We start from the raw sequence: 26,263 nt of genomic DNA on the forward strand, positions 1-26,263 counted from the left end.
TTACAAATGGGAAACTGAGGCTCAGGGAAAGACAGGGACTCACCTGCGACAGGGGTCGCAGAGGGAGTTCGGGACAGAGGCCAGACTCAGCCCACTGGACAGGTGGTGAAATGCAGCCCTGCCCTGCTCTAGCCTTTGTTCTCTGCCCCCTCCCTTCTCAGTGCTGGCCACAGTGAGGGACCTAGGCTGCCGAGAGCCCTTAGAGGGGGCAGCATTTGGCCCTGATCTGGCCACCTGAGACCAGCAGCAGCCCATTCTTGGTGAGTGTCTGAGATTTCTGGCTTTTTGGAGACGTAGCTGCTAAGAGTTTGGGGGCACAGGGACCCTCTCAGGGCCAGCTCACAGTGGAACCCCTGGGTAAGATCCCCCAGCTCTGAGGATGTGGGAAGGATGCTGCTCTACCTCAGAGACTGCAGCATGACCTACAGTGGTCAGACAGCAGAAAGGACTGCCAAGGACGGCTGCAGTGCTAGATCGGGGAGGCTTGTGGTTCTGAGAAAATCTGGGCTGGTGGGAGGGGAAGCAGGGGCTTCTCTGGGGGAGAGGGTGGGGGCTGGGACCTCAGATACTGTCTTTTCAAAATTGATTTATTGGGTTTCATTCTAAAATTATACGTACTTATTAAAAACATTTCAGAAAAAAACTTGAGGGCAAAGGGGAAATTCCTCATCATCTTTCCATGCAGAGGAGGACCCAGTACTGAGAGAGGGTGACAGGGCCCACATCTGGGGAGCTGACGCGAAGTGCTGCCTGCCATGCATCACACGTTCCAGCTTCCCGGGACCAGCGTGGCCGGTGGGAGCCGGGTGCCAGGGCACATTGCTATCCTTGGCAGCACCATGGGCCTTTAGGGTAGGGGTTCTGTGGAGGGTGTGGCTACAATGTTGGCCTCCCTGCCTGCTCAAGTGTGGAGGGGAGGGAGGACTGCTGCCAACGCTCTGGACTCTGGGATGGGGGTGGGCATGATTCCAGGGGAGCCCACCTCCCTGGGCGGGGCATCCAGACAAAGCCCTGGCCAGTTCTGCAACATCCAAGTTCACGGGTGGTGGACAGGCCCAAGGGTTCAACATCAGGTCAGGGACCCTGCCTGGCTCCTTCCTTGGGCCCCAGTGCCAGGCACCCTGATGAGGGATGAAGAGAGGAAGGACAGGACACAGACAGGGGAGCCCAAAGCCACTTGGAAGGATTCTTTCTTCCAAACTATCCACATAAGCAGTTTTCTAACTCCTTCCCAGAGCCCAAGGGTTCTGGCAGGGGCTTGAGGGGCAGGTTGGGGTGGTGATGGGGGATGCATTGCCTTTCTATCTGGAACTTGAGCCTTATGGTATATTCAGGAAAAAGGCTTGAACCAGTGAAGTACTGATCTGGTCCAACAGATAGAAAGAGGGCCCAGAGAGGTCAGGGCTTGGTCCAACTCGCACAGTGGTGGGGCGTCTGCAGACTGCTTTCCTGTCCTGTGCTGTTGGCAGAACCTCAGCTTTGGGACTTGAGGGGGAGTATGCAGTGGCAATTAGGACAAACGACTCTGAGCTCTCAGTTGAGTTGGGGGAGGAGAGAAAAGAAGGAGTTAGATCCTGGGGGAGTTGGATGTTGCAGACTGGACTCCAGAGCCTGGGGGTGTGGGCGATCCTGGGGTGTGGGGAGGGCGGGCTGAGGCTGCTCCACAAGCGTTCTCGAAGTTCACCATACAAGAAGGGGCGGTGTGGGGAAATGGGGATGAGGCCTGAAATTCAATCCCATGTGGGTTGAGTTATGATGTCATCTGACACCCTCTCACACGGCTGCATCTACCCCAAGGAAGGGGCAAGTTTTTCTTTGATGGGCACCTGGGGGGGCTGTTTAGCTGGAGTTTTTTTTGTTTCGCTTTTTTTGTTTTTGTGTTTTTTTTGAGACAAGTTTCGCTCTGTGGCCCAGGCTGGAGTGCAATGGTGTGATCTCGGTTTACCGCAACCTCCACCTCCTGGGTTCAAGCAATTCTCCTGCCTCAGCCTCCCAAGTAGCTGGGATTACAGACATGCACCACCACGCCCAGCAATTTTGTATTTTTAGTAGAGATGGGGTTTATCCACGTTGGTGAAGCTCGTCTCGAACTCCCGACTTCATGTGATCCGCCCGCCTCAGCCTCCCAAAGTGCTGGGATTACAGGTGTGAGCCACCGCGCCGGGCCTGGAGCTGCATTTTTGTTGTAAGCACTTTGTTCTTACTTGGATTAGGTTTATTTTAGGGTGGTTTGGGGCAGACTGAGGGAGATTGGAAGGCAGAAACCACCCCCTCAGGACAACCACGTGGATCTCCTTAGGGTCTGGGTAGTGGAACTGGGCCCTGTGACCTTGGAGTTGGAGGGGAAGCTGTAAGCAGGGATGGAACGGGCCACCCGCACCCTCACACAGCTGTGACCAACAGGCACGGTCATCCGCATTCACCTGCCCAACTCCCATGCCCTGAGTCCTGTCCTCCAGGGCATTCCTACTGGCACTACCCCAATTTCCCAAAAGATTCCAGGGATCTCTCTCTCGCTCTCTCTTTTTTTTTTTTTACAGTCTCACTCTGTTGCCCAGGCTGGAGTGCAGTGGCTGATCTCAGCTCACTGCAACCTCCACCCCCTGGGTTCAAGCGATTTTCCTGCCTCAGCCTCTTGAGTAGTTTGGGATTACAGGCGTGCGCCACCACGCCCAGCTAATTTTTGTATTTTTAGTAGACGGGGTTTTGCCATGTTGGCCAGACTGATCTCAAACTCCTGACCTCAAGTGATCCTCCCGCTTTGGCCTCCCAAGGGAGGGTTCCTTCCTCCCAGGCTGAGGCACCCTGCCCCACACATCTACTGGAGGAACTTAGTGTTGGGGCCAGGGGGTGGCTGGGTAAGGCTGGATCCCACACTTGTCAGGCCAGGTTGGGGTAGGGGAGGATACACGGGGGACCCGTCTCTCAGCCGTTCTGGGCCGGTGCCTGAGGCGATCTGCCCCGCCGCCCGCCCTTCCGCCACCACCCAAGTCGCATGCGCGCGCCGGGGCCGACGGGCGCCAGGCTCCACCGAGCCACCCTCCGTCGTGGCGGCCCCTCGTGCCTCTGCGGAGGGAAGGCCGCCGGCTTCGCCAGGGGGCGCGCGTCGGGGTCGCGGCTCTTTGAACTCGGCCCCACGAGGGGACGCGCCATCGGTTTCGTGGCTTGCGTGGCGCCGCAGCAACGAGCCGGTCGCCCCGGGGCGTTGCTTAGTCCGGGCCTCGCTGCGAGTCTGTGGGCGAGGCGGGAGGTGCTTCCTTGGCCAGGCGGGTGGAGGAAGGTGTGGGCGCCGCATCCCAGCGTCGCGGAGCCTCCAGGCGCGGGCAGGCGAGACTGGCGTGCAGCGCGACGGCCTAGTCCCGGCGTCCCACCGTCCCCCACTCCCGCAGGCGCCGAGCCGATTCAGCCGCGCGGCTGCAGTGACACCCAGCGGCCGTCGCGGGAAGTGCGGTCGCCGCGGCCAGGCCTCCGGGGCTCCTGTCTCTCGAGGTTCCCACCCCGGTTACGCGCGGGCACCCCGGAGGAGAGCGGCCGCGCGCTGCAGATGCCCGCGGGGGCACTTCCCCTGCCCCTCCCCCGTTTCCTCCCCGCAGGCGCCCGAGCGCCGGGAGATCCTGCGCAGCGGCAGTGCCCGGAAGGGCGGGGCGGGGTGCAGCAGCGGCGCTGGGCTGTGACCCGGGCAGTTTCACTTCTGGATCCTGCTCGGGCTGTGATAGGACAGCGCGGGGGCAGCGGGGGAACACGCGGGCACGCCGAGATCCGGCGCTCGGGACCCCGATGAGGGGAGGCCTTTCACTCCTGGGGTGTCACGCGACCCACGCTTTCCTCCATGTCCACTCCCACCCCCCATGGGTTCCACTTTGCTGTCCCCCGAGCTGCCGCTCCTCCCCAGCAGACACCGTCTCCGCCGGGGCTGCCGACCCCCGGAGAGGCCCCGAGCGGCGTGGGCGGCGGGAGGAGGGAGCTGTGAAGCCGCAGGCAGGGGGTTAGGCTGCGGGCTGCTGAGACGCCGAGCTGTTTCTCAGAAGTGCAGCTGCCCCTCCCCTCACACCCCCCTCACTCCCACCGCGCGCCGCACCCCTGCCCCCTCTCCGCCGGCCTCCCTTTCCTCTCCCAGGCACCCTAGCCGGGAATCTGGGGTCTGGGTCCACGCAGAATTAAGAGGAGAACCTGAGAAAGGGCGGGGGCCGGGGGTTCAGACCCAGCCTCAGCGCGCGTTATTCCGAGCCTCCTATAATTCCACAGGTGAGGGGATCCTGTCCCCTACCCCTGGGGTCCAGGATTGGAATTTGATAGAACAGTTAGGAAAATGACATCTTGAGAGAGTCAGGGCCCGGCCACTATTACTCTAGCTCCAGCGTCCAGTGAGGAGAGGAGAGAGAGGGAAGACCTGGAGCCCGGCTGGTGCAGTGAGGTTGAGGCCTGTCTTAGGAGTACCAGCTGGAAGGCCCTTCAGAGATCCCTGACTCTGGGGAAAATCAACGCCCAGAAGGGGAAGTCAAGTGTCTGGGCTCATCCCGAGAGGGAGAGGGCTGGGATTGGAACCAGGACTCCAAATAGTTGCGGGAGTCTGCGACTGTCTTTTGCTTGGGACTTCAGAGCTTTGCTGGATTCACTGACTCAGCCTGCTTTCCCTCAACACACACAAACACACACACACGAGACACGTGCACGCGCGCACACACACAGATACACAGACACACACAGACAGACATGCAAGGAGAGAGACAGGCACACATGGAGACAGACACGCACACGCAAAGAGACACACAGCTCCCCAGGAGTCTAGCGGGGCAGCTGAGGTCTGTGAGTGAGACATTCTCAGTGAGACACTGAGAATGCAATTCCAGTGGGGGTGGGATGGGGATTGGGCGGTGGAAGGACAAGCCCGGGGGAGGAGGTGGCATCGCCCCCCTAGTTCCCATCCACCACCACCCCCAGTGCTGTGGTTTATTTGCCTAGGCAGCTCTTCTGGGCCAGGGGGCCAGGGTACTGGGGTGGAGAGGCGAGGTGATGGGAAAGGCTGTTCTGGGGCTTCCTGCCCCCTCACTCCTGGGGAAGGGGGGTAGCTGCCATCACCCGCAGGCCTTTCCACTGCAGCCCTTTCCTTGGGTATGTGTGTTATTCTGGGGGAAGATCTGTTATTTGCGGAGAAGGGAGGCAGCTGCCTACTTCACAGGTCAAGACAGAGTTAAAAACAAAACCACAGCAAATTCAACACCCCGTGTCCTTCAGGGACTTTCCATGACACCTTCCTTCCCCCCTCTCCCCTAAGCCAGGGAGCACCTCCCCAGAGGGCCTCCCCACCCCAGGTGCAGTGGCTTTTGGCTTTTATGCAAACAACTGTCTGATCCCGGAATGCTCCACAGCCCGAACTGTGGCCTGGGCCGAATGTGCCCCTCCACCATCCCTTGGGCCAGTGTTTCTGGTCTTCCTGGAGTTGTGACCTCCACTCTTCCTCAGACCCTGGATTCTGAGGGACAGGAGATGAGGGCAGGAAGCTAGGTCCTTTCCCCCTGCCTGCCCTCGGGTGGCAGTTGCCTGCAGGTGGAGGGTTTGGGCACAGCAACCTAAGTGAATGGTCCGGGGTTTTGAGTGATGGGGGAGGGGAAGAAGGAGGGTGCAGGTGTGGGGTGGCCTCCACTGCCAGGCCCACCACCCTCTAGGGCATTGAATTAGCTCCCAAGATCAGGAAGGAAAACTCTTCTCAGGCTGGGAGTCCATTCAACCCCAACGCCAGTGTGGACCTCCGGTCCTGCTCACTGGCAAAGGGGGTCAGGATCTCCCTGTCTCCCTCTCTTCTGCCTGAGCTGCTTCTGCTTTGGGGAGGGATTTGGGGATGGGGAAGGCCATATAATCTTCTCTCCAGGGCTGAAAACCAGCTACTGAGGGGCCGTTTTTGAATGTATTCAGTGCTAAAATGCAAAGGCAGGGTGCCATGCCATTCCTTTCTCCTCCTCAGCTTGAGCAAGACTGGGAAACCTGTAGGAGACCCTCAGCCAGTTTGAACATTTTGGAGTGCTGATGGGAGGGAGATGATGCTGATCATGGAGCCAGAGGACGCTGGTGCCAGCCTAGCCCCACATTTGTTAGTCTTAAAACTTCAGACAATCTTTCTCATGCCTCTTCCACAGAAGACGGAAAATGGAGGGTGCTTTAGATGAGGCTGAGCAGAAGGCCAGACTCTCTCTCTACTTTCTCTAACGTTTTCTAAGAGAGAACACAATGATGATGGAAAGAAAGCAGCCTCATCCCTATGCCATTCTCCTAGGACTTTTCCCCCTAACACCTTCGGTTTGGGTCTCCAGGTATCTAAAAACTGTATTTAAATATGGTCGAGTTTAAGGACTGCAACTCAAGTTTCCCAATGTGGATGTCTGTGAGCCCCCACACATGAAAAAGTCAGAACTTGACTGTATTTTAAGAAGAATCTCTGTTGAGGGAGGAAGGCAGAGCAGTGACTTGGAATAGGGGTGCACCATGCTGAATGTGCTGATCATGCTAAGTCCAGGTCCTCAACCTCCTCCAGTTTCCTTAGTGAACTAAGGACCAGTGGAACCAGGAACCCTATCTTGTGGGTTACAGGGGCCAGCAGCAGGATCACAGTGGTAGGCTCAGCAAGGCGTCAGGTGAGAACCTTTATTTCAGTGATAATTCATTTTTCTTGATAACTGGACTTTAAGAAATAGAGGGGCAAAATTAAGAAAGTATTCCTTGGGGCGGGATGAAACCCTTCTACATCCTGACACCAGCAGACACAAATCATAAGTGATAAGGATGCACAAGGACTAATTTCAAACATACCAGGATTTTTTTATTTTTCAGTGTAAAAATCAAACATGATAAACCTAGAAAACTATCAGCAGGGCTATTTCTTACAGGGTTCCAGCAAGGGTTAGCATTGTTACATTTCAGAAGCTGACTTTCTTTAAACCATCTTTACAGAGGAGTAAACTTCACAGTTCCACACATGGCTGGGCTCCAGGTAGAACTCCATAGGAGTGACGAGGGAAAGTCACCACTGGGCAGGGAGGGCATTTCTGAGAAATGCAGATGAGAGGAGAGGCTGTGAGCACAGGCTGTGTCAAAACCCAGGGCAAGGGCTCCCTCCCGCCTTCCCTCCCAGTGGGAAGGCCACCCTGAGCCCCAAACCACATTCTGTTCCTTCCTCGTCATTCTGCAGACAATGGTCATCCACAGACCACACGTGTGGTGGCTTTGGCAACCAGAAATTTAAAATAAGCTATGGTTTTTCCAGTAGCCAAAATGATCCTGCACCAAAGCTCATAGACTGAGAACCTGAGCATGCAAAACCACAGTCTGGGTGAAGGGATGTCTGCTTTGTAAATGACCTGCTAATTCTTTGCAACCCACAGTAATTTGGTTTCTGTGAACCCACAGAAGCAGGCCCACCAAAAAGGGCCTTGTCTGCTAGCCTGGAGTATACATGAGTCACTGGCGGTGGGATCAGTCATTTTTTAGGCTGCCCCATTTTCCTAACATGTTAAAATGTGTGTTCTCAGTCTTTTCAAGAGAGGAAGAAGCAAAGCGGCACTTACAGAGTGTGAGATAGACACAGATCTGTGGCGAGGGATTGGGGAAGGTGGGTGGCATCTTGGGACTCTCTCCAGGCTTTCTGGAGTGGGGTCAGTGGAGAGATGAACAGTGAGAAACATTTGAAATAACTCAAGTTTTGGAGCAGCGGGGGGTGGGGTACTAATGGCTGAGGACTCACAGACAGTGAGGGAGCAAAGCGCTTTGACTTCCCTGGGTGCGACACCATGAAGTGTCTATAGCACGTGGTTAGCTCACGCTGGTTCCAAGGGTCAGCAGATCCTCTGCCCTTGTGCATTAAAACAACATGAAGGAAACTGTTAGAGATCAGTTACCTCCATAATTCATTTGTAAAGGAATTGCTATTATGATCTAGTATGATCTTGGGATATTTTTCATGTCTTTAAATTTAGGACACGGTACATTTTCCACTGAAAATTTACAATCATCCAACATAATGCACACCACCCCTCAAAGGTAACATTAGCTCATATACAAAATCATGGAAAACCTCACAACATCCTTGGAAGGTAGATATTGTTATATCCTTACAAAAATTTAATACACCCATTAACATTCCTATTTCAAATAGCTCAATCGATATCAACACATAAGACAGCCCACAATTGTGATACAGTATTAAGAAGAAACTCAGGCCAGCCGCGGTGCCTCACGCCTGTAACCCCAACACTTTGGGAGGCTGAGGTGGGCAGATTACTTGAGCCCAGGAGTTCAGGACCAGCCTGGGCAACATGGTGAGACCCTGTCTCTACAAAAAGTACAAAAATTAGCTGGGTGTGGTGACCCACGCCTGTAGTCTCAGCTAGTTGGGAGGCTAAGACGGGAGGATGGCTCGTTGCTTGAGCCCAGGAGGTTGAGGCGGCAAGTAAGCCTTGATTGTGCCACTGCACTCAGCCTGGGGAAACAGAGCGAGACTTTGTCTCAAAAAGAAAAAAAAAAAGAGGAAACTTGTATCCAATTTATTCAAACTGCAAAACCCTGTGTATCTTCATAACAATGGTGGGGCAAAGACTATCTACAGCTGGGGCAAGGGAGAGGCACAGTCTTGTGTTACTTTACAAGCTCTCAGAAGTTTAAAGCCCACAATTGTCCTTCAGGCTCTTCTGAGTCCATGGTCCTAAAGGGTCAGGAGTCCTGAACCCTGGCTTATTCTCAGAACCATTCAGTCGTGCTGCCTTGGAGAACAGAGTCCTTTTCCTGAGGTGGCCCAGGTCCAGCTGCTGGTTTCAGATCAAAATTGACCTCCTTCATCGGCACTTATATCTCAAATCATTCTCCTTGTCTGAACTCTGGATATAGAGGTTTTTTGAACTATACTTTCTGTGTGAACACAAAAATAGCTTCCCATTCTCTAAAAGATGAGGTATCACTATATATCGGGTTTTTTTCTTCTGTTCCTGGTGCTAACTTTTAGGACAAAGTTTCACCACTCCCTTTTCTCTTCTTGAGCTCACAAGTCCCGATGCTGACTCTTTGAGTCCTCAGATAGCCAGGCTCTTTCACATCTTGAGTGTCCCAGAGTTTCCAAATCTCTGCTAGAGTCCAACATACCTCTTCTCAGTGGGGTACTCTTTAAAGTGAGGACTTAAACATTTCCATTGTGGTCTTATCACCTGGGATTATATGTAACAGTACTATTTTTTTCCTTAAAACATTCTTTTTTTTTTTTTTTTTGAGATGGAGTCTCACTCTGTTGTCCAGGCTGGATTGCAATGGCGCGATCTCGGCTCACTGCAACCTCCACCTCCCAGGTTCAAGCAATTCTCCTGCGTCAGCCTCCCGAGTAGCTGGGATTACAGGTGTGCACCACCACACCCAGCTAATTTTTGTATTTTTTTTTTCGAGATGGAGTCTCACTCTGTCACCCAGGCTGGAGTGCAATGGCACGATCTCGGCTCACCACAACCTCCTCCTCCTGGGTTCAAGCGATTCTCCTGCCTCAGCCTCCTAAGTAGCTGGGATTACAGGCATGTGCCACCACGCCTGGCTAATTTTGTATTTTTAGTAGAGACAGGGTTTCTCCATGTTGGTCAGGCTGGTCTCGAACTCCCAAACTCAGGTGATCCGCCCGCCTTGGCCTCCCAAAGTGCTGGGATTACAGGCGTGAGCCACCGCACCTGACCCTCCTTAAAACATTCTAAACCTCACATTCAGTAGGGCTTGGGGAGGTGGGGGTGGTACAGGAAATAGGAGAATAATAGTGATACAGATGCTACCTGGAAAAACTTTGTTCTGTCTGTTCCTCACGAAACAAAGCCGAAAAGAAAAACTTTATGTGGATGTGAGATTTGATAGTAACACAGTGTTTCACCTGAGCAAAATTTTGTGTTTTTAAACATTTCTGTTTGCCAAAGAAATCTGAGGTTGTGGCTGGGCGCAGTGGCTCTTGCCTGTAGTTCCAGCACTTTGGGAGGCTGAGGTGGGCAGATTGCTTGAGCCCAGGATTTTGAGACTAGCCTGGGCAGTATGGCGAAACGCCATCTCTGCAGAAAAATACAAAAAAAATTAGCTGTGCATGGTGGTGTGCCTATAGTCCCAGCTACTTGGGAGGCTGAGGTAGGAGGATTGTTTGAGCCTAGGAGATCAAAATCTGAGGTCATTTTATATCTGGCCGATTTTGAGTATGGGCCTAACAAAATGTTAAGCACTGCATTTAAAAGGTGAGAAATTTTGTCACTGACAAAGTCAGAAGCTGTGTCAGGAACAGCTCACAGTGGGTCATAAAGCATAAGATTAGCTGGCTTATCTGTGCCAAGGCGAATGTCTTTTTGGGAGAATAACTTGAGGAAACTAAAGACTGATGAGTTCATTTTCTCTCTTTTTTTTTTCTGGTGGTAGTGGTGGGGGCTCACGGGAGAGACACTTCTATTTAGTTTTCTTTCCGTAGGAAGTACCGATGCAACACTTCAGGTAGTGACAGAAAACATTTGGAGAGCTGGGCATTGTTTGTGCATGCCTGTAATCCCAGCTACTTGGGAGGCTGAGGCAGGATTGCTTGAGCACAGGAGTTTGAGTCTGGCCTAGGCAACATAGTGAGACCCTGGTCCTCTAAAATATACATACATATATATACATATACAAAAAAAATAAAAATAAATTAAAAAATTAAAAAACACCTGGAGCACTGGTTCTGTTTCTTTTCCACCCTCAGCCCAGTTCTGTCACCTTGGCTGCAAGGAAACTTTGCCTGGGTTTTTTTGTTTGTTTGTTTGTTTTTGTTTTAGACAGAGTTTCGCTCTTGTTGCCGAGGCTGGAGTGCAGTGGTGCCATCTCGGCTCACCGCAACCTCCGCCTCCCGGGTTCAAGCGATTCTCCTGCCTCAGCCTCCTGAGTAGCTGGGATTACAGGCATGTGCCATCACGCCCGGCTAATTTTGTATTTTTAGTAGAGATGGGGGTTTCTCCATGTTGGTCAGGCAGGTCTCGAACTCCCAACCTCAGGTGATCTGCCTGCCCCAGCCTCCCAAAGTGCTGGCATTACAGGCGTGAGCTATCGCGCCCGGCCCTTTGCATGGGTTTGGTTGTTCCTCAGACCGTGGCCTCCTGGGTGTATGGTGGAAAGCCCGCCTGATAAGAGGCTGGTGGGAAATGAAGGAGAGGGGCCTACAAGGCTCTTGTTCAGAGGGAGTCTGCATGAGAAAGTACAGGTACTATCTGAAGCTGCTCCAGGGCTTCAGTGCCCAGCAGTGGCAGATGCAAGTCCTGACTCTGCCCTTCTGCTAAGATTCTCCTTCACCCTCACCTCCCCAGCCCTGGCAAGGGGTTTGTTAATTAGTACAGCATAAGGGGTATGTACAGAAGGCAGCGTTTATCTGTGTGATGGTAACCACTGCATATCTGGTTCAACTTCAAGACTTAAGGATGCAGAGTTTCCACACATAAATTTTTTCTGGAATTGATGGGCCCCAATCTAGGCTCAGAATGCCACAAAGAAAGTGCCTTTGTGAGTGGTCACCTTACTCAGAAAACTAACCTCAGAAGAATAGAAATCATGCAGCAAATTCATTAGTCACAGGAAAAAGGAGGATCATATCTATAAAAAGAGTCCCCAGGCTGGTGGAATGGGCCTTGGTTTCACAATCTTGAGATGCAAAAGGTGGTCTCAGGCTGGGTGCGGTAGCTCATGCCTGTAATCCCAGCACTGTGGGAGGCCAAGGCGGGCAGATCACCTGAGGTCAGGAGTTTGAGACTGGCCTGGCCAACATGGTGAAACCTTGTCTCTACTAAAAATACAAAAATTAGCCGGGCTTGGTGGTGAGCACCTGTAATCCCAGCTACTTGGGAGGCTGAGGCAGGAGAATTGCTTGAACCCGGGAGGCGGAGGTTGCCGTGAGCCGAGATCGCGCCACTGCACTCCAGCCTGGGCAACAGAGCGAGAGACTGTCTCAAAACAAAAGAAAACAAAAAAAGTTGGTCTCCTCTGCAAAGACTTGAACACTAATCTGGTGGAAAGGCTTCCTTTCCCTCGTTTTCTCTTCTACTAATCCCTGCTTCCAAATTCTCTTTCTCTTGTCCCTTGAAGAACCAACAGGATGTGCGATATTTCAAGAACGTAATGAGCAACTCCTCTTTCACAAAGGGAATAAGCAATCTGGCATAGCTTGGAGTCTAGTATTACGGAAATACAGTGATATACTGAAGACTACACACCAAAATACATCCATTCCTTTAGCTGAAGTCTCAAACATGTTGGGACTGTTGCCATGGAATTTCATAAAACCTTTTTTCCTGAGACAGACGCCATGCCACAAAGAAGGATAAGCCATTTGTGCAGTCTGAGGTGGAACATTTTAATTACTGGCAGCACATAGACGAGTTGAGTTGGAGCCGAATGCATAAGCCCCTTAGAAATAAAACACTAATCTACCAGGAATTTGGGATTCTTGGCTCTGGTAGAAATGTTACAAATTAAGCTGACTCTTAATTTGTAAATAGGCTCCATGAAGTTGTCCCTGGAAGCAGAATTTATTTTCCCTAACATAATTTCTTAAAAAGTAAAAAAAAAAAGAAGGCTTTGGCAAACAGCTGCATGTGCCAATTTGTGTGTATGCTTTGTGGCAAGATCAAAATACCTTTCTGTTTTTTGTTCCTCTCCACCACCTTCTTCACATTCACAACTCAGTGGTTAAAGGAAAAACTTAACACACCATTTTCATACCAAAGGAATGTGAAACATGTATTCATATAAATACTCTTCTGCTTAATATCCATACATTAGGAGGTTTAAAAAATACCTTGTGGTTACTGCATAATCACATATGAATTAAAGCTAGAAGGGACCTAAGAGAACATTGAAATCTAATTCCTATTTTATGGATGAGGAAACTGAGTTTTTTTTGTTTTTGTTTGTTTGTTTTTGTTTTGTTTTGTTTGAGACAGGGTCTCACTCTGTCGCCCAGACTGGAGTGCAGTAGTGTGATCTCCACTCACCGCAACCTCAACCTCCCAGGCTTAAGCGATTTTTCTGCCTCAGCCTCCGGAGTAGCTGGGATTACAGGCATGTGCCACTACTGCCCAGCTAATTTTTGTATTTTTAGTAGAGACAGGGTTTCACCATGTGGGTCAGGCTGGTCTCGAACTCCTGACCTCAAATGATGCGCCTGCCTCGGCTTCCCAAAGTGTTGGGATTACAGGTGTGAGCCACCGAGCCTGGCCGGAAACTGAGTTTTAAGAGTTAAATAAGGCTGGGTGTGGTGGCTCACACCTGTAATCCCAGCACTTTAGGAGGCTGAGGCGGGCTGATTGCTTGAGCCCAGGAGTTCAAGACCAGCATGGGCAACATAGTGAGACCCCTATCTCTACAAAAAGAACAAAATGTAGCCAGACATGGTGGTGTGCACTTGTTGTCCCAGTACTCAAGAGGCTGAGGTGGGAGGATCACCTGAGCCTGGGGAGGTCGAGGCTGCACTGAGCCATGATTGCACCACTGCACTCCAGCCTGGGCAACAGAGTGAGATCCTGTCTCAAAAAAAAAAAAAAAAAAAAAGTTAAACGATTTCTCAAAGTCACATAGCTAATTAGCCAGCATTTTGTGACCTCCTATTCCAGTGCTAATTTTACCATGATAACAGCACTCCTCCTGATAGTATGTACATATTATGAGTGACAAGGATGACTTATACATCTGCAGAACCGTGATCAGACTTTCAGGAATTTTCATGGAATACAGCAGTTCCATTTAAATGGGAAAAAAAGGGCCGAAGCCTGCCTGATCAAGGAGAACCTCTCAATAGAGGTGTCCCTCCTCACCCCATTCCGGAGCTCAACTCCGATCTAAACACACATGCCATCTATCTCCAATTCCTCTCCTGTGGGGAGGGGGAGGCTGAGCCATACTTTTTGGACTTTTTTTGTGGAAAATATCATTGGCAAATTTGCTTTGGGTCTGTATCACCAATTCTCCATGAACTCTTTCAAGAAGTTTTAGGTAGCTGTTTTTTGTTTGTTTGTTTTCTGTTGGTGCTGCCAAACAATTTCCCCCTTTATACCCTTGCTCTGCCAACCTTGACCAAAGGAAAGCGATGTCATCATCCACAGTGGATAAATTTCTGGAGTTTCGATGATGGTCTATATTTAAAACCATGAGTTCTTCTGGCATAGATTTTCTTCTATAGACAACTGGTTTAGCCCAAAGCAGCTCAGCTTTTCACTGGAGATGGGAAGGTAAAGGACAGAAGCAGAAGTGCCATCAGATGACATTTTTTAAAAATGTTGTGATAGGAAATGGATCTGATGCTTGGAGAATGGGGTCTTCAGTTACTCGTAACAGATACTTATTTTATGGCTGTTCTTTTACTTACTCTTAGACTGTCATTTAGATTAGGGAGATTAGATCTTAACCCTTCAGCCTGTGAAGGGCAGAAGGGTGAGGCTTCCCAGCAAGGTCAGCTGGTCAGCTCTTCCTCTTTGTGGATTTGCATGTATGACTGAAAGGCTTTTCCACGTGTGGTTGATATATCTCAGAAAGAATGTTTCATATAGCACATCTCCGGGACCACTCATTCCACTGCTGTAGAAGATAATGACCAAATACCTTTTTGGCTTTTAAATTCCATAAAATTCAAGTCCCTGATGGGAAAACAAAGGTTTCACAAAAGTAATAATATGCTAGACCTGCGAATAATTTCTGAAGGAAGACAGTGTTTCCCTGGCTACCCCTGTGAACACAGCTAAAAATGGTATGAAAAGAAGTTTGGAACTGAGTATGTTTTGAGAGCAATCTGTTAGGCGAGGTCATTGGTTTTTAGAAACGATGCTGAATACATAGGAGCAATCCCTGAGACCAGATATTCACTTCAGCAGGGCTCTGTGTTCTCCTCTGGCTATGTGAGACGAGAACTCATACCGATCATGGCTTCGATATCCACACATGTTACACTCGAAAGGGTCACGGAAGCCGTGGCAGCCCATGTGAATCGTGAACATCACATAGTCCAGGAAGAGGACGCGGCAGTGGTCACACCGATACACATCCATCACCTCCCCTTCCTTGTTGATCACTTTGACGGAGTCTCTTGGGCAGATGGGCGGGGGCTTGAGGAGTTCGTAAGAGCGGGGAACCTCCTTCAGAAGTGGCATCCCATTGCGGGCCCGAGACAGGACCATGTGATTTTGCTGATAGATGTGATTCTGGCGTTCTTCATGGTTGCTGTCAGTGTCCGTGGAGTCGTGGCCACTATTGTTGGGAGAGAGGCCTCTCTCAGAAGGCACGCTCTTCTCTGGAAGGTGGATGCTTTTCTTTTCCAGCTCTTGAGGGGCACCGTTTGACATCTCAGCCCGGGTGAGGGCTATGGGATACATGCTGCTGATAACTGGAACCATCTCCGAGGTGGGAGCAGGCGGTGTCTGGACCAAGGGGCGCAGGGCTTCGGCGCCAAGATAGCTGATGGCGTTATTGATGGCTTGGTCCATCATGCGGGTCTGTATGAGCTCACTCTCTTTCTCATACATGTAACTTGAATTATAGTTGACATCAAAGCAGTGGCGCTTCTCACCTGGAACAAGTGACAGAAAGGGTTACAAAGGGAACACTGCCAAGGCAGAGAGTTTGTAAATATTTTCTAGAGACCTCAAAAAGGGAGGAGAGTTAAGTTGCCTGCTGCTCAAGAAGACCAAGCCTGGCAGAATGGTTTCCCATGGTGCTGTCTCAGGGGACACTGGTCGGCAGCAACGTGTTTGGATGGTTAAAATAAAGCCAGCAGGCAGAAGAGAGGGGCAGAGATGTGGTTCAGTTGAGGCCACATGGTAAGGTATGCCCACTGTGCATGTTAGAGGAGAGCCCTCAAGAAAGGAGGGAAAGAAGCAGGACACTAGGATGGGGCTAGAGGGACAAGGGAGCCACCAGCCCACAGGAGCCTGGGACTTCTGCTATAGTTCATGATCTCTTAAGACACAGTCGGCTCCCAACTCTTATTTTGCTTTTGCTTGTTATTTTCTGCTTGCAATATTAGGTAGCCAGGGGGACAGAAGTGCTGCAAAGAGTGGGGACACTCGGTGCCTCACCTCGGCAGCTTTTTAAATAGCTACAGAGATAGAGAAAATAGCCCCCCAGACTCCAACTGGCTACTCCCCAAACTCACCCGTCCTGGCTGACTGAGACTGAAGTGAAAGAGCTTCAAATGTAGAAAGTTTGAGAAAAGTTTTCTTGAGAAGAGATCATGGTCTTTGTCCCTTTCCTAACGTGTGTTTCTCTTCCTTTGCTTGGCAAGTGTATCTCTGATACACATGTGATCATTAGGGCCTATCTCACACTTAACTGAAAAAATATACTTGTGGTCACCCTCTCCTACTTCTCATGTCAAACTGCTGAGAAGTTTTGAAAACAGAGTTTAGCCACCTTCAGAGTGTGTGGGTGTTGTGTGTTAGAAAACAGAGGCTCTCTGGTCACAGGGAAGGCAGGGATGGGGACTGCAGTGAGGGCAGATGTGCTCAGTGGTGAGTGGTGGGGAGAGGGGAGAGAAAGCGAGGAAGTGGAGCCGAGTGCTGGAGGTGAGGCTGAGGTCACTGTTGAGCCTCTCCATTCTGTCAGCTTGGATCCTGGAGGGATTTGCTAAACCATATCCTTCTATAATGTTTCCTAGTCATGTTGAGATTCCAAAATTTGTCACTGCCCTACAGTAAAGGGTTCAGCAATGAAAATAAAGAAGAAGAAGAAAAAATGCCATGAGAAAACAAAAGGATTGGAAGAACCAGTTCCTGTTCTTGAGGTGTCTCCAACCTAGTGGATGAGAAATAAGACCTATATATATATAGAACTCGAGAAAAAGTATAAGTTAAAAGTTGGCCGGGCGCGGTGGCTCAGGCCTGTAATCCTAGCACTTTGGGAGGCTGAGGAGGGAGGATCACTTGAGCCCAGGAGTTCGAGACCAGCCCGGGCAACATGGAGGAACCTTGTCTCTACAAAAAAATACAAAAATTAGCCAGGCATCTGTAGTCCCAGCTACTCAGGAGGCTGAGGTGGGAGGATCACCTGAGCCTGGGAGGCAGAGATTGTAGTGAGCTGAGATGGCACCACTGCACTCCAGCCTGGGTGGCAGAGTAAGACCTTGTCTCAAAAAAAAAAGTTGTAAAAGGACTGCTTTGCTCTATGGAGGTCTTTGCTTTTATTCTAAATGCCCACATTTGAGGCATTTAGGCAGGGAAGTAACGTGTTCTTTAAAAAGAATAATAAGGTAACATACAGGCATCGGTGAGACAATTTGGTATAAATTGTATATTTAGGCATTAAGGGAATGCAGAAACTTCAGAAGTACTTGGGGAAGGGAAAGCATTCTTGGAAAATCTAAATTTTGAGAAGGGTCTTGAACTGGAAGAATTTAGATTTTCAGAGAAGCGGGAGAGGACATCCTAGTTGAGGGGGAGTGCAGGAATGAAGGCAGAGAGGTGGGACTACACGGGACGTGTGCAGAAAGCGAGTCTGGCTGAAACGCGATCAAGAAGTATGAAATACAGTATTTCTCAGGCTTCACTCTTCCTTCACATTCTGCAATATCCACACACCAGGGCAGTGTGGTGGTTGAGAGAATAAACTCTGGTGTCAGATGGGCTGGGTTTGATGCTGGCTCCATTGGTCACCAGTTTTGTGACCTTGGGCAAGTCACTTAACCTATGTTCCGTGTCCTCATGTAAAGTGAAGATAATTGTATGTACCTCACAGGGTCACTGGAAAGCACTTAGAACAGGGCCTGCCACATGGAAAACACTTGGTAAATGCTTGGGTTTTTTTCCTCTGTTTGATTTGGTTCACATTTTCTTTCTTTTTTTCTTTTTCTAAAATAAATGTGGTTTTTAAGGAAACTTTATATCACTAACATAAACGGAAAACCAGAATCACTTTCCACAAGTAGAAGGTAACTATGAAAAATAAAGACAATGAAACAGAGCATTTCATTAAATTTTGATCGGATACTACTGTGAGTACTTGGAGACTAAGATCCCTTCCCCCTTTGTTAAAAACAGAGATTACCAAGTGTGAGATTAGTGTTAAAGACAACTGGCATCAAATTAAGTCTAAATTTTTCTCCTTAGTATGATCCAGGAGACTGAAAGAGAACTGGAAAGAAAATAATTATCCTGCTGTGTGGACCCAGGTTTTTAAATGCTCCATGTGCTTGCTGGCAATTTGCATCCTACATTTGGGGAAACACTGAAAAAAGATAATGCATGGTAGGACCGAATGGTGGGCATTCCGAATGGCCCACTGTAGGGTGTGAATCCGAACCAAGAGCCAAGGCTACCTGCCCTTGAGAAAGACAGGTTTGTGGTTAACGTAACAGCAATGTGTAAGGCAGACCAGAACAGTGAGAAATTGGAGCCAGAAGAACCAGCTAAAAGATCTATTCCCATGAGATGAATTTGTCTTTGCATCCCCACAAGCAGCTGACCTTAAGGCCAACCTGATAGTTTCCAGAGAAATACCTGAGAGAGAAAAAAAATATGCAAACGAAAATACCCTGTCTTGGAAACTCAATGAGAAGCAACAGCAGAGTAGACCTTGGCCAAAGTAATCAATGTTTTTTATTTTCAGTTTCCAGATTGGATATATCTTTGGTCAAGGCCATCTGGAAGACTGAGAACATGAGAGCCAGCTAAGGTCACAGACATTCATTCCCTAGAATGTGACACAGAAATGATGAACTTCGGTTTCTTGGCCTTTTTAAGGTTATTGGTTATTTTCCACTGTGGCCACCTCTATTCATCTCCCTAAATACCAGGGGTCCTTGAGAAACTTTTTCTCTTTTCACCCAACAGAGAGGCTCCAGAAGGTTTCTGGGTGGGGTAGGCACATCACAAACTCTGATTTTATCCTTTCTCCTAAGAGTTTGCTTTACTTAACAAGGCCTACAATTTCACAATCTATACCACCTGCAGCATATGTCAGAAAACAGCTGAGTGCTAAAATTGTAAAAGGCAAAACATTAAGAGGAAGATAAACCCCTGGATGAGTGGAAATATGTGACTGAATTCTGTAGTTAACACAGACCATTGTTCATTGTTAAGGAGATGGGGCAGCCTCAGATGTTCACGTGCATGCAACTTGCAATCATCAGATCCCCTCGTCTCTGAGTTACGGTAACTTGAGCAGTGCAGATGATTATCAGTCACCTGTAGACACGATGACTCAATGTGTATGAAACCCAGAAAGGGTAAACTACAGTAATTGAAAAGCCAACAGCTCACGTTTCTTTAGTAACACACTCATAAAAAAGGTTAGTCAAACCACAAAAGTGTAACTGCTTCCAAACCTGCACGGAGCATCTGGTCCAGCTTCTAGTCAAAATCACACCACGCCTTTGAATGATTCATGATACCAGCTTCAGGCTGAATTAGAGGTCTTCTTCCAACAAAAATACACACGGCAACAGCAAGTCCTAAGTTTAGAAACTAAGGCTGCCTGGTTGGGCCATTCCCTACCTGTGGTTCTTTTTAAAGGTGTCAATGTCTTATATCTTGGCTTTGTTAACTCTAAACTAAGAAACCACCTGACCTGAACTGATGCAATGTGGTGAGGACATATGGTTGTTGGCTTCTAAGTGCCAACTTGGAAGTACAGAATCACAGGCTAGAGCTAAAAGGGCCCTTAACTGAGCAAGTGGATTCAGAACTCTGTCTGCAGGGTTGAGGGGGAAGACCCACCACCCTAATATGTTTACTTCTGGTCTTTATATTTCACAGTACCTTGCACTGTGCCTTATATACAATAATCCCAATAATGATAAGTACTATTTATTGAGCCCCTGCTGTATCCACCGTGCCATCCTAGATACTTTGCATACTGTCTCATTTTACCAGCCCATTAGGGGTTGATACTTTTTTTTTTTTTTTGAGACAGAGTCTTGCTCTGTCACCCAGGATGGAGTGCAATGGTACGATCTCGACTCACTGCAACCTCCGTCTCCTGGGTTCAAGTGATTCTCTTGCCTCAGCCTCCCAAGTGTCTGGGACTACAGGCACGTGCCACTATGCCTGGCTAATTTTTGTATGATACCTTTTAAGGTATGAATTATCATCTCTTAGATGAAGAACCTAAAGCACAAACAGTTTGATTCACTTTCCAAGATTGCCCAGTTGGTGAACAGAGAACCAGGATGTAATCCAAGAGCCCACATATCCCAGTATATGTTTGAGTGTTAACTGATGTTTCCTGGCTGCTACCTTGCCCATGGCTGCACAGCCCCACCACCAGCAGTGACTTCAGGTTTTCTGCTGTGATGGTTCCCATAGCAGAGGGAAAGGGGGCTTAGTGGCAGCAACTGCTTTTTCCACATGGACCAGCACATGCACTCAAGAAGTATATGCTGTGCAGAGTTGTTATGATATCTATAAAGTGCTTAGCAGTGCCAGGCATGTGTAAGCACTCTATTCCCATTATTTGCTTAGCACCATGGTTAGGTGATTTGAGGAATACAACAAAATTGCAATCCACTAGAGGAGATGCAGCATGTACATCATTTCATGACAAATCAGTATCCTTAATGCTACATGGTAGAACAAAACATAGAGTAGCCAAGAGAGTGGAAAGAGAAAACTGAATTACTTCTCAAATATGCCACACTTAATATGGGGCAAAGATTCATCTATTCTTTAAAGTCTCCTTGAAATCAGAGGTGGTGGTAGTGACGGTGGTGGAGACAGTCATATCTATAATAAGAAGCAGACTAGTAAACTCGCCTGGAGTGCAGAGGGAGGATGGAGCAGAGAGAGAACACAGGGGTGTGGGAATGTGGACAATGTGTGCTTCTTTTTATTTTTTATTTTTGAGACAAGGTCTCACTCTGTTGCTCAGGTGGGATTGCAGTGGCGTGATCACAGCTCACTGCAGCCTCAACCTCCTGGGCTCAAGTGATACTCCCACCTCAGCCCCCTAAGTAGCTGGGACCACAGGCCCATGCCACCACACCTGGCTAGGTTTTTGATTTTTTTTTTTTTTTCAGAGACAGAGTTTCACTATGTTGCTTGGGCCGGTCTCAAATTCCTGAGCTCAAGTGATCCTCCCACCTTGGTCTCCTAAAGTGCTGGGATTACAGGCATGAGGCACTGTGCCTGGCCTACAATGTGTATTTTAAGGGCAGATGTGAGGGAGGCCATTCAGACAAGAGTGAGATATTACACAGAAGAGGGAGGAGGAGTTCATTGTGGCTGAAGTAAAGGACTGGTTGGCTGAAATGATAAAATTAGAAGAGGTAAGTTGAAGACAGATTGTGGAGGGCTCAGAAGGCCTGACTGAATGGTTTAGATTTGATTCCACTGGGAGCCATTGAAAGGTTTTTTTGAAGAGGGGGGCAAAATGATCGAACCTTTAGAAAAATAACAGAAATCCAATATTTAGAGTCACCATGATGGGGTAAGGTGAAATATTCAGGTCTTAAGTCTTAAAGTTCTTCAAGTCACTTAAATGTGTTTGCTGCTGCGTCATATAATTTCCCACAAGTGTTATCCCTCACTCTTACTATCAGCACACATCCAAAAGCAAATGAACAAAAAAGGCAGGAAAATAGAATATCCAACCATCATCATGGCTCTGATCTCAACCTAAGTGAAACTAACACTTCTTGCAGGAGGTGGAAAACAGAGGGGAGCCAGAGAACAAGAAGAAACAGGAAGGAGGAAAGAACAGAGAGAGCTGTGGGGGTGGCACTGGGGAAAGCTGAGCTGGAGACCACATTTGGTTGCTGCAGAAGTCTTTGTCCTCTGTGAGACACTGGGAAGTGCTGTGTGGATGTCATCTGTTCTCATGGAGTCACCAGGGAAGACTGTTCTTTTCTAAAGAGAATCACCCTTGAGGGAGAACAATTGCCCTTCTTCAAGGGTTTTTTTCCTCCTATCAATTTTCTTTTTTGTTTTTGAAACAGAGTCTTGCTCTGTTGCCCAAGCTGGTGCGATCTCGGCTTACTGCAACTTCTGCTTCCTGGGTTCAAGTGATTCTTGTGCCTCAGCCTCCCAAATAGTTGGGATTACAGGCACCCACCACCACACCTGGCTAATTTTTGTATTTTTAGTAGAGATAGGGTTTCACCATATTGGCCCGGCTGGTCTTGAACTCCTGACCTCAAGTGATCCACCTGCTTAGGACTCCCAAAGTGGGGAATTACAGGTGTGAGCCACTGCACCTGGCCTCTCCCACCAACTTTCAATGACCAGACTCCTTGCTGTCCAAAGCCCCGCGCATGACATGCACTGCTCTTGGTCACCTCCTGGGGAAGGAAGGGCCTGGACTGCAGTGCCTTATAGGCCGAGGTCTGGCGCTGCTCTGTCACCTGCCAGCTGTGTCACTCCACCTCTCTGATCCTCCTTCCTTCCATGGTAAAAGAGCCTCACTGGTGGTTCCTAATAGCCCAAAAATACTATGACATTGTAATGCTTACAGGATTATGGACATCAGGCCTTTGGGAAGGGGTTGGAAAAATACTTTTTTTTCTCTTAGAAACAGGTATTAAAACTGCTTCCTGTTGCTGTTAACCAAAGCAGGCAATTTCTCATTAGTTACTTCACAGGGAGATCCGATGGTTTGTTGAAGTGTCAAAACCTCATTAACATGTTTACCACAGGTGAGTGAGATCTTTTTTTCATGTTCTTTTCGTTATGAAAACTTCCTTTAATAAAGTAATACATAAAACTTTTAAAATAAGGAGATGCTATGGTAACCACTTTGGTCTGAATAACATCTGTTTTTTTGGGAAAGAATAAAAATCAGGAGAAATATGCAGAAATGTAGTCATTTTTCTTCTGCATCCAAGAGAGAAATCCATTTTGAGCCAAGTATTTGAGGATGGCCTAGTTTGAAGTGTAGTCAAACAAGTTTATAACAGGAGAACAAGATTCAGAGAAAGGAAATCCCCTAAAGGACAGTATGTGCAAAGGAAGGTCTTCTTGTCCTTTGAAAAGAACAACTTAAACAGAATTATTCTGACAATGTAAAGATGGTGATTCCTGATGGACGTGTGTCCATTTTTTTTTTTCCCATTTGAAACAAAGACATACAAAATTTCTTGGAGAATTAGAAAAAAAAATATTTTTCTCCAACTTGAGAGCATGTTTGTGTCTCAAAATACATTTAGACTTGATCCAATCTGTCCCTCTTCCCCAGTTCATCTCTAATGGATGCAAAATGCTCCCTACTGGTAATTATCGCCAGCCCGCCTGAGATAGCAGCGGGCTGACCTGATGGTCTATTTTCACCTTTACCCTCACAGTTCAAGAGGTCAGGGAAGTCAAGGCTGGTCTGAGTGCTGTGCAACTGTCAGCAAGGATTAAAGGGAATGACTCACTCTTCCTTCACACCTTACCCATTGCCATTACCCTGGCAGCTGAATCTTCAAAAAACAGTGCCTTGGAGAGGAAATATAGGAGAAAGGAGAGAAGAGGAGAAGAGAAGGGAGGAGAGGAGGGAAGAGGAGGGGAGGGAACAAGAGGACAAGAGAGGAGAGGTGAGGTGAGGCGAGGCAAGGCGAGGGGAGATGGAGAGAAAACAGTAGCCCCATGTTTTACATCACTTCATCTCATACACTGCACAGTGTCACAAATAATGTTCCTTTCTCCCTCCGTTGACATTACTATTTTCTATCACAAAGGTTGATTCAATTAAATAATTTAAGGGGTTTCTTTTATTTTTAATTTTTAAAAACCTTTCAAACAAAAGTTTAGGATATAAGTTAATGCAAGAAGATTAGAACAGTGCCCAAAACAAGAATACCATATATATGACAGGAACTCTTAACCTTCTGTATGATGAATGAATGGACAAAAAAGTGAGTGAACAAGTAGTACTGCCCTAAGTAAAACACATGAATGTCGGGCTAATGCGACTGTGTTTTAGATTCTCAGATTTATACCATCTTCCTAAAACAAAAAAGACTCTAAAAACCTAGGATATGGTTTATAGCATAAACACCACATCTGTATAGCCTTGAGAAAAAGGCTATCTGAAGTTACGCACATGGGCTTTCTAAACACACAGTGGTATCAATAATTGCTGCCTTTTATTTCTTTTCTAATTAATCTCACAGACTTGTACATGGGAGGAGACTTCCTGGTCACTTCATCACCTATTCAGTCTCCTCATTTCACAGATGAGTAAAGAGAGGCCCAGAAAGGTTCTGTGATTGGTCTAAACACACAGTTAAGAAATGACAGAGCTAGGATCAGAACCTGGGTCTTTTAGCTTCTAATCCAGTACTCTTCTTATTGCACTACAACACAACTTACGAAAAAAAAAAAAAATTCCCCCAGTTATTCTGGGCCCTGAAGCCCTGAAGTTGCTACCTCAATCAAGAGCTAACTCTACTAGGTTTCTGATTCCAGCACAGAGAGAATGTGATGGTTCAGAAGATGAGAGAAATCAACACCTACAAGATCAGCATCTCTCACAAGTCTGGAAGTAGTGAAGTGAAAATCCTCTGGTTGCAATTGTAGCAAACAAACGAAATAGATCCCCGAGGCAACAGGCAAAATGGCATGAATTTGCACATATGAAACATGCTATATTTTTGAACCCATGAAATACCAAAGCAACTTTTATTATATTAAGTAGGGCTTTAGTTCAACTATAGGTTTAGGGCAACCGAAAATACTAGGGACTGTCTCTCAAATTTTAGTTGTCTTACACCAAAATGCATTGACCACAACTGGATTGAAATTAAGTCACAGCTGGGCGCAGTGGCTCACGCCTGTAATCCCAGCACTTTGGGAGGCCAAGGCGGGTGGATCACCTGAGGTCGGGAGTTCAAGACCAGCCTGACCAACATGGAGAAACCCTGTCTCTACTAAAAATACAAAATTAGCCAGGCATGGTGGTGCATGCCTGTAATCCCAGCTACTCAGGAGGCTGAGGCAGGAAAATCGCTTGAACCCAGGAGGCAGAGGTTGCGGTGAGCCGAGATCGCGCCATTGCACCCCAGCCTGGGCGACAAGAGTGAAACTCTGTCTCAAAAAAAAAAAAAAAAGAAAGAAAGAAAGAAATGAAGTCGCTTTACATTTTTTTCTTGCCCAGCTCTCCCTATGATGTCCCTCCTCTTGTCGGCTTCAGCCATTTCTAGAGTCAAAGCTTTCTCCAGACCAGCCTGGGCAACATGAGGAGACTCTATCTCTACAAAAAGTTTAAAAATTAGCTGAGCCTGGTGGTGCGTGCCCATAGTTCCAGCTACTTGGGAGGCTGGGGTAGGAGGATTTCTTGAGCCCAGGTGTTTGAGGCTGTGATTGCACCACAGCACGCCAGCCTAGGCAGTACAGTGAGACCCCGTCTCAAAACAAACCAACAAACAAAACCCATAACTTTCTCCAAACTAAAATACACTCAGAATAATAAGGCAAGCTTTCTTTTGTACTCCAGTCAGAACCTCTTCACATAAGTAAAGCCCAAAAGATATATGGGAATATTTGTAGACAATGTCTTAAACTCACCATTTGTTTACTGTGCCTAAACTCTAAATGGAAGTCACTACATGCTCCCCTGACATGTCTCACCAAGGGGAGGGAGGACAGCAAGGAGGAGGGGATCTCCCTAAACTGAAATATACCAACTTTTCTCTGACACAATTTGTTCTTAAAGTGACTAAAAGTGCACAAAAACCTTTCAGCTAGTCAAAATAAAATAAGTAGGCAGAAATACCAAATTAGGTAATTTTGAAATATATGGGTTCTTTCAATATACCTCTATAATTCACATAGACTGTTTGCTTGTCAAAACATTATCTATACCAGAATCAAATTTAGTCAGATTTAAAAACCAGGCAGGCAACTTATTATCTGTAAGAGCTATTGAGAAGAATAAATACAAAAGGACTGAAATAAAAAATCAACAGCGGCAAGCAGCTTTGGAAAAAGAGGCTGAGACAGGTTTCTAAAATATTACTGATGTTGAGGGAGGTCTATTTTCATGTGATAACTATTTTTGTTCAATATCACCAACTTTCAATTTATAGCAAAACTGATACATTCAATTTCAGCTGTCTACTTCACAAATACAAATCTATTTCAAATATCATGGTCACATTTATGTAAACATCTGGGAGAGTTCAGCAAAATGTCTCTGCCATTTGGAAGTCCTAACACTTCAATGAACATAATTATTTCATACCCATCTCATTCTGCTGTATTTTTTGACAATGTGAAAACCAATGGCATAAAAATGAACTCCAGTAAGACAAATGATTAAATCAAACCTTGTTATTTAAATCTATGTTTGCCCAACC

At 47.7% G+C, this 26,263-nt stretch overlaps 1 protein-coding gene across 17 annotated transcripts in view, besides 9 other annotated features; it reads right to left on the minus strand.

The window, feature by feature from the left end:
* Window positions 2,996-3,135: a silencer, noted in NCBI's record as "silent region_8464". NCBI's record gives its function as "represses an Ori minimal core promoter by ATAC-STARR-seq in GM12878 lymphoblastoid cells {active_cell/tissue: GM12878}" and the evidence as "EXISTENCE:reporter gene assay evidence [ECO:0000049][PMID:35858748]".
* Window positions 3,176-3,225: a silencer, noted in NCBI's record as "silent region_8465". NCBI's record gives its function as "represses an Ori minimal core promoter by ATAC-STARR-seq in GM12878 lymphoblastoid cells {active_cell/tissue: GM12878}" and the evidence as "EXISTENCE:reporter gene assay evidence [ECO:0000049][PMID:35858748]".
* Window positions 3,366-4,095: a silencer, noted in NCBI's record as "silent region_8466". NCBI's record gives its function as "represses an Ori minimal core promoter by ATAC-STARR-seq in GM12878 lymphoblastoid cells {active_cell/tissue: GM12878}" and the evidence as "EXISTENCE:reporter gene assay evidence [ECO:0000049][PMID:35858748]".
* Window positions 4,586-4,635: an enhancer, noted in NCBI's record as "active region_12104". NCBI's record gives its function as "activates an Ori minimal core promoter by ATAC-STARR-seq in GM12878 lymphoblastoid cells {active_cell/tissue: GM12878}" and the evidence as "EXISTENCE:reporter gene assay evidence [ECO:0000049][PMID:35858748]".
* Window positions 5,046-5,355: an enhancer, noted in NCBI's record as "active region_12105". NCBI's record gives its function as "activates an Ori minimal core promoter by ATAC-STARR-seq in GM12878 lymphoblastoid cells {active_cell/tissue: GM12878}" and the evidence as "EXISTENCE:reporter gene assay evidence [ECO:0000049][PMID:35858748]".
* IKZF3 (IKAROS family zinc finger 3) overlaps window positions 6,790-26,263 on the minus strand; it is a 106,598-nt gene continuing 87,124 nt past the window's right edge. For 15 of the 17 annotated variants that reach the window (NM_001257409.2, NM_001257408.2, NM_001257413.2 and 12 more), the window contains one exon: window positions 6,793-15,568. In NM_001257409.2, coding sequence (NP_001244338.1) covers window positions 14,865-15,568 — 704 coding nt within the window. In that variant the 3' untranslated portion in view covers window positions 6,793-14,864. Of the gene's footprint in view, window positions 15,569-26,263 lie in introns of all 17 variants that reach the window. The other 2 variants (XM_047435625.1, NM_001284516.1) reach the window with 1 other exon arrangement.
* Window positions 7,235-7,314: an enhancer, noted in NCBI's record as "active region_12106". NCBI's record gives its function as "activates an Ori minimal core promoter by ATAC-STARR-seq in GM12878 lymphoblastoid cells {active_cell/tissue: GM12878}" and the evidence as "EXISTENCE:reporter gene assay evidence [ECO:0000049][PMID:35858748]".
* Window positions 16,098-16,167: an enhancer, noted in NCBI's record as "active region_12107". NCBI's record gives its function as "activates an Ori minimal core promoter by ATAC-STARR-seq in GM12878 lymphoblastoid cells {active_cell/tissue: GM12878}" and the evidence as "EXISTENCE:reporter gene assay evidence [ECO:0000049][PMID:35858748]".
* Window positions 19,470-19,539: a silencer, noted in NCBI's record as "silent region_8467". NCBI's record gives its function as "represses an Ori minimal core promoter by ATAC-STARR-seq in GM12878 lymphoblastoid cells {active_cell/tissue: GM12878}" and the evidence as "EXISTENCE:reporter gene assay evidence [ECO:0000049][PMID:35858748]".
* Window positions 21,737-21,796: an enhancer, noted in NCBI's record as "active region_12108". NCBI's record gives its function as "activates an Ori minimal core promoter by ATAC-STARR-seq in GM12878 lymphoblastoid cells {active_cell/tissue: GM12878}" and the evidence as "EXISTENCE:reporter gene assay evidence [ECO:0000049][PMID:35858748]".

This window comes from Homo sapiens, chromosome 17 (genome assembly GCF_000001405.40).
Source record: "Homo sapiens chromosome 17, GRCh38.p14 Primary Assembly".
NCBI classification, from domain to species: Eukaryota; Metazoa; Chordata; class Mammalia; order Primates; family Hominidae; genus Homo; species Homo sapiens.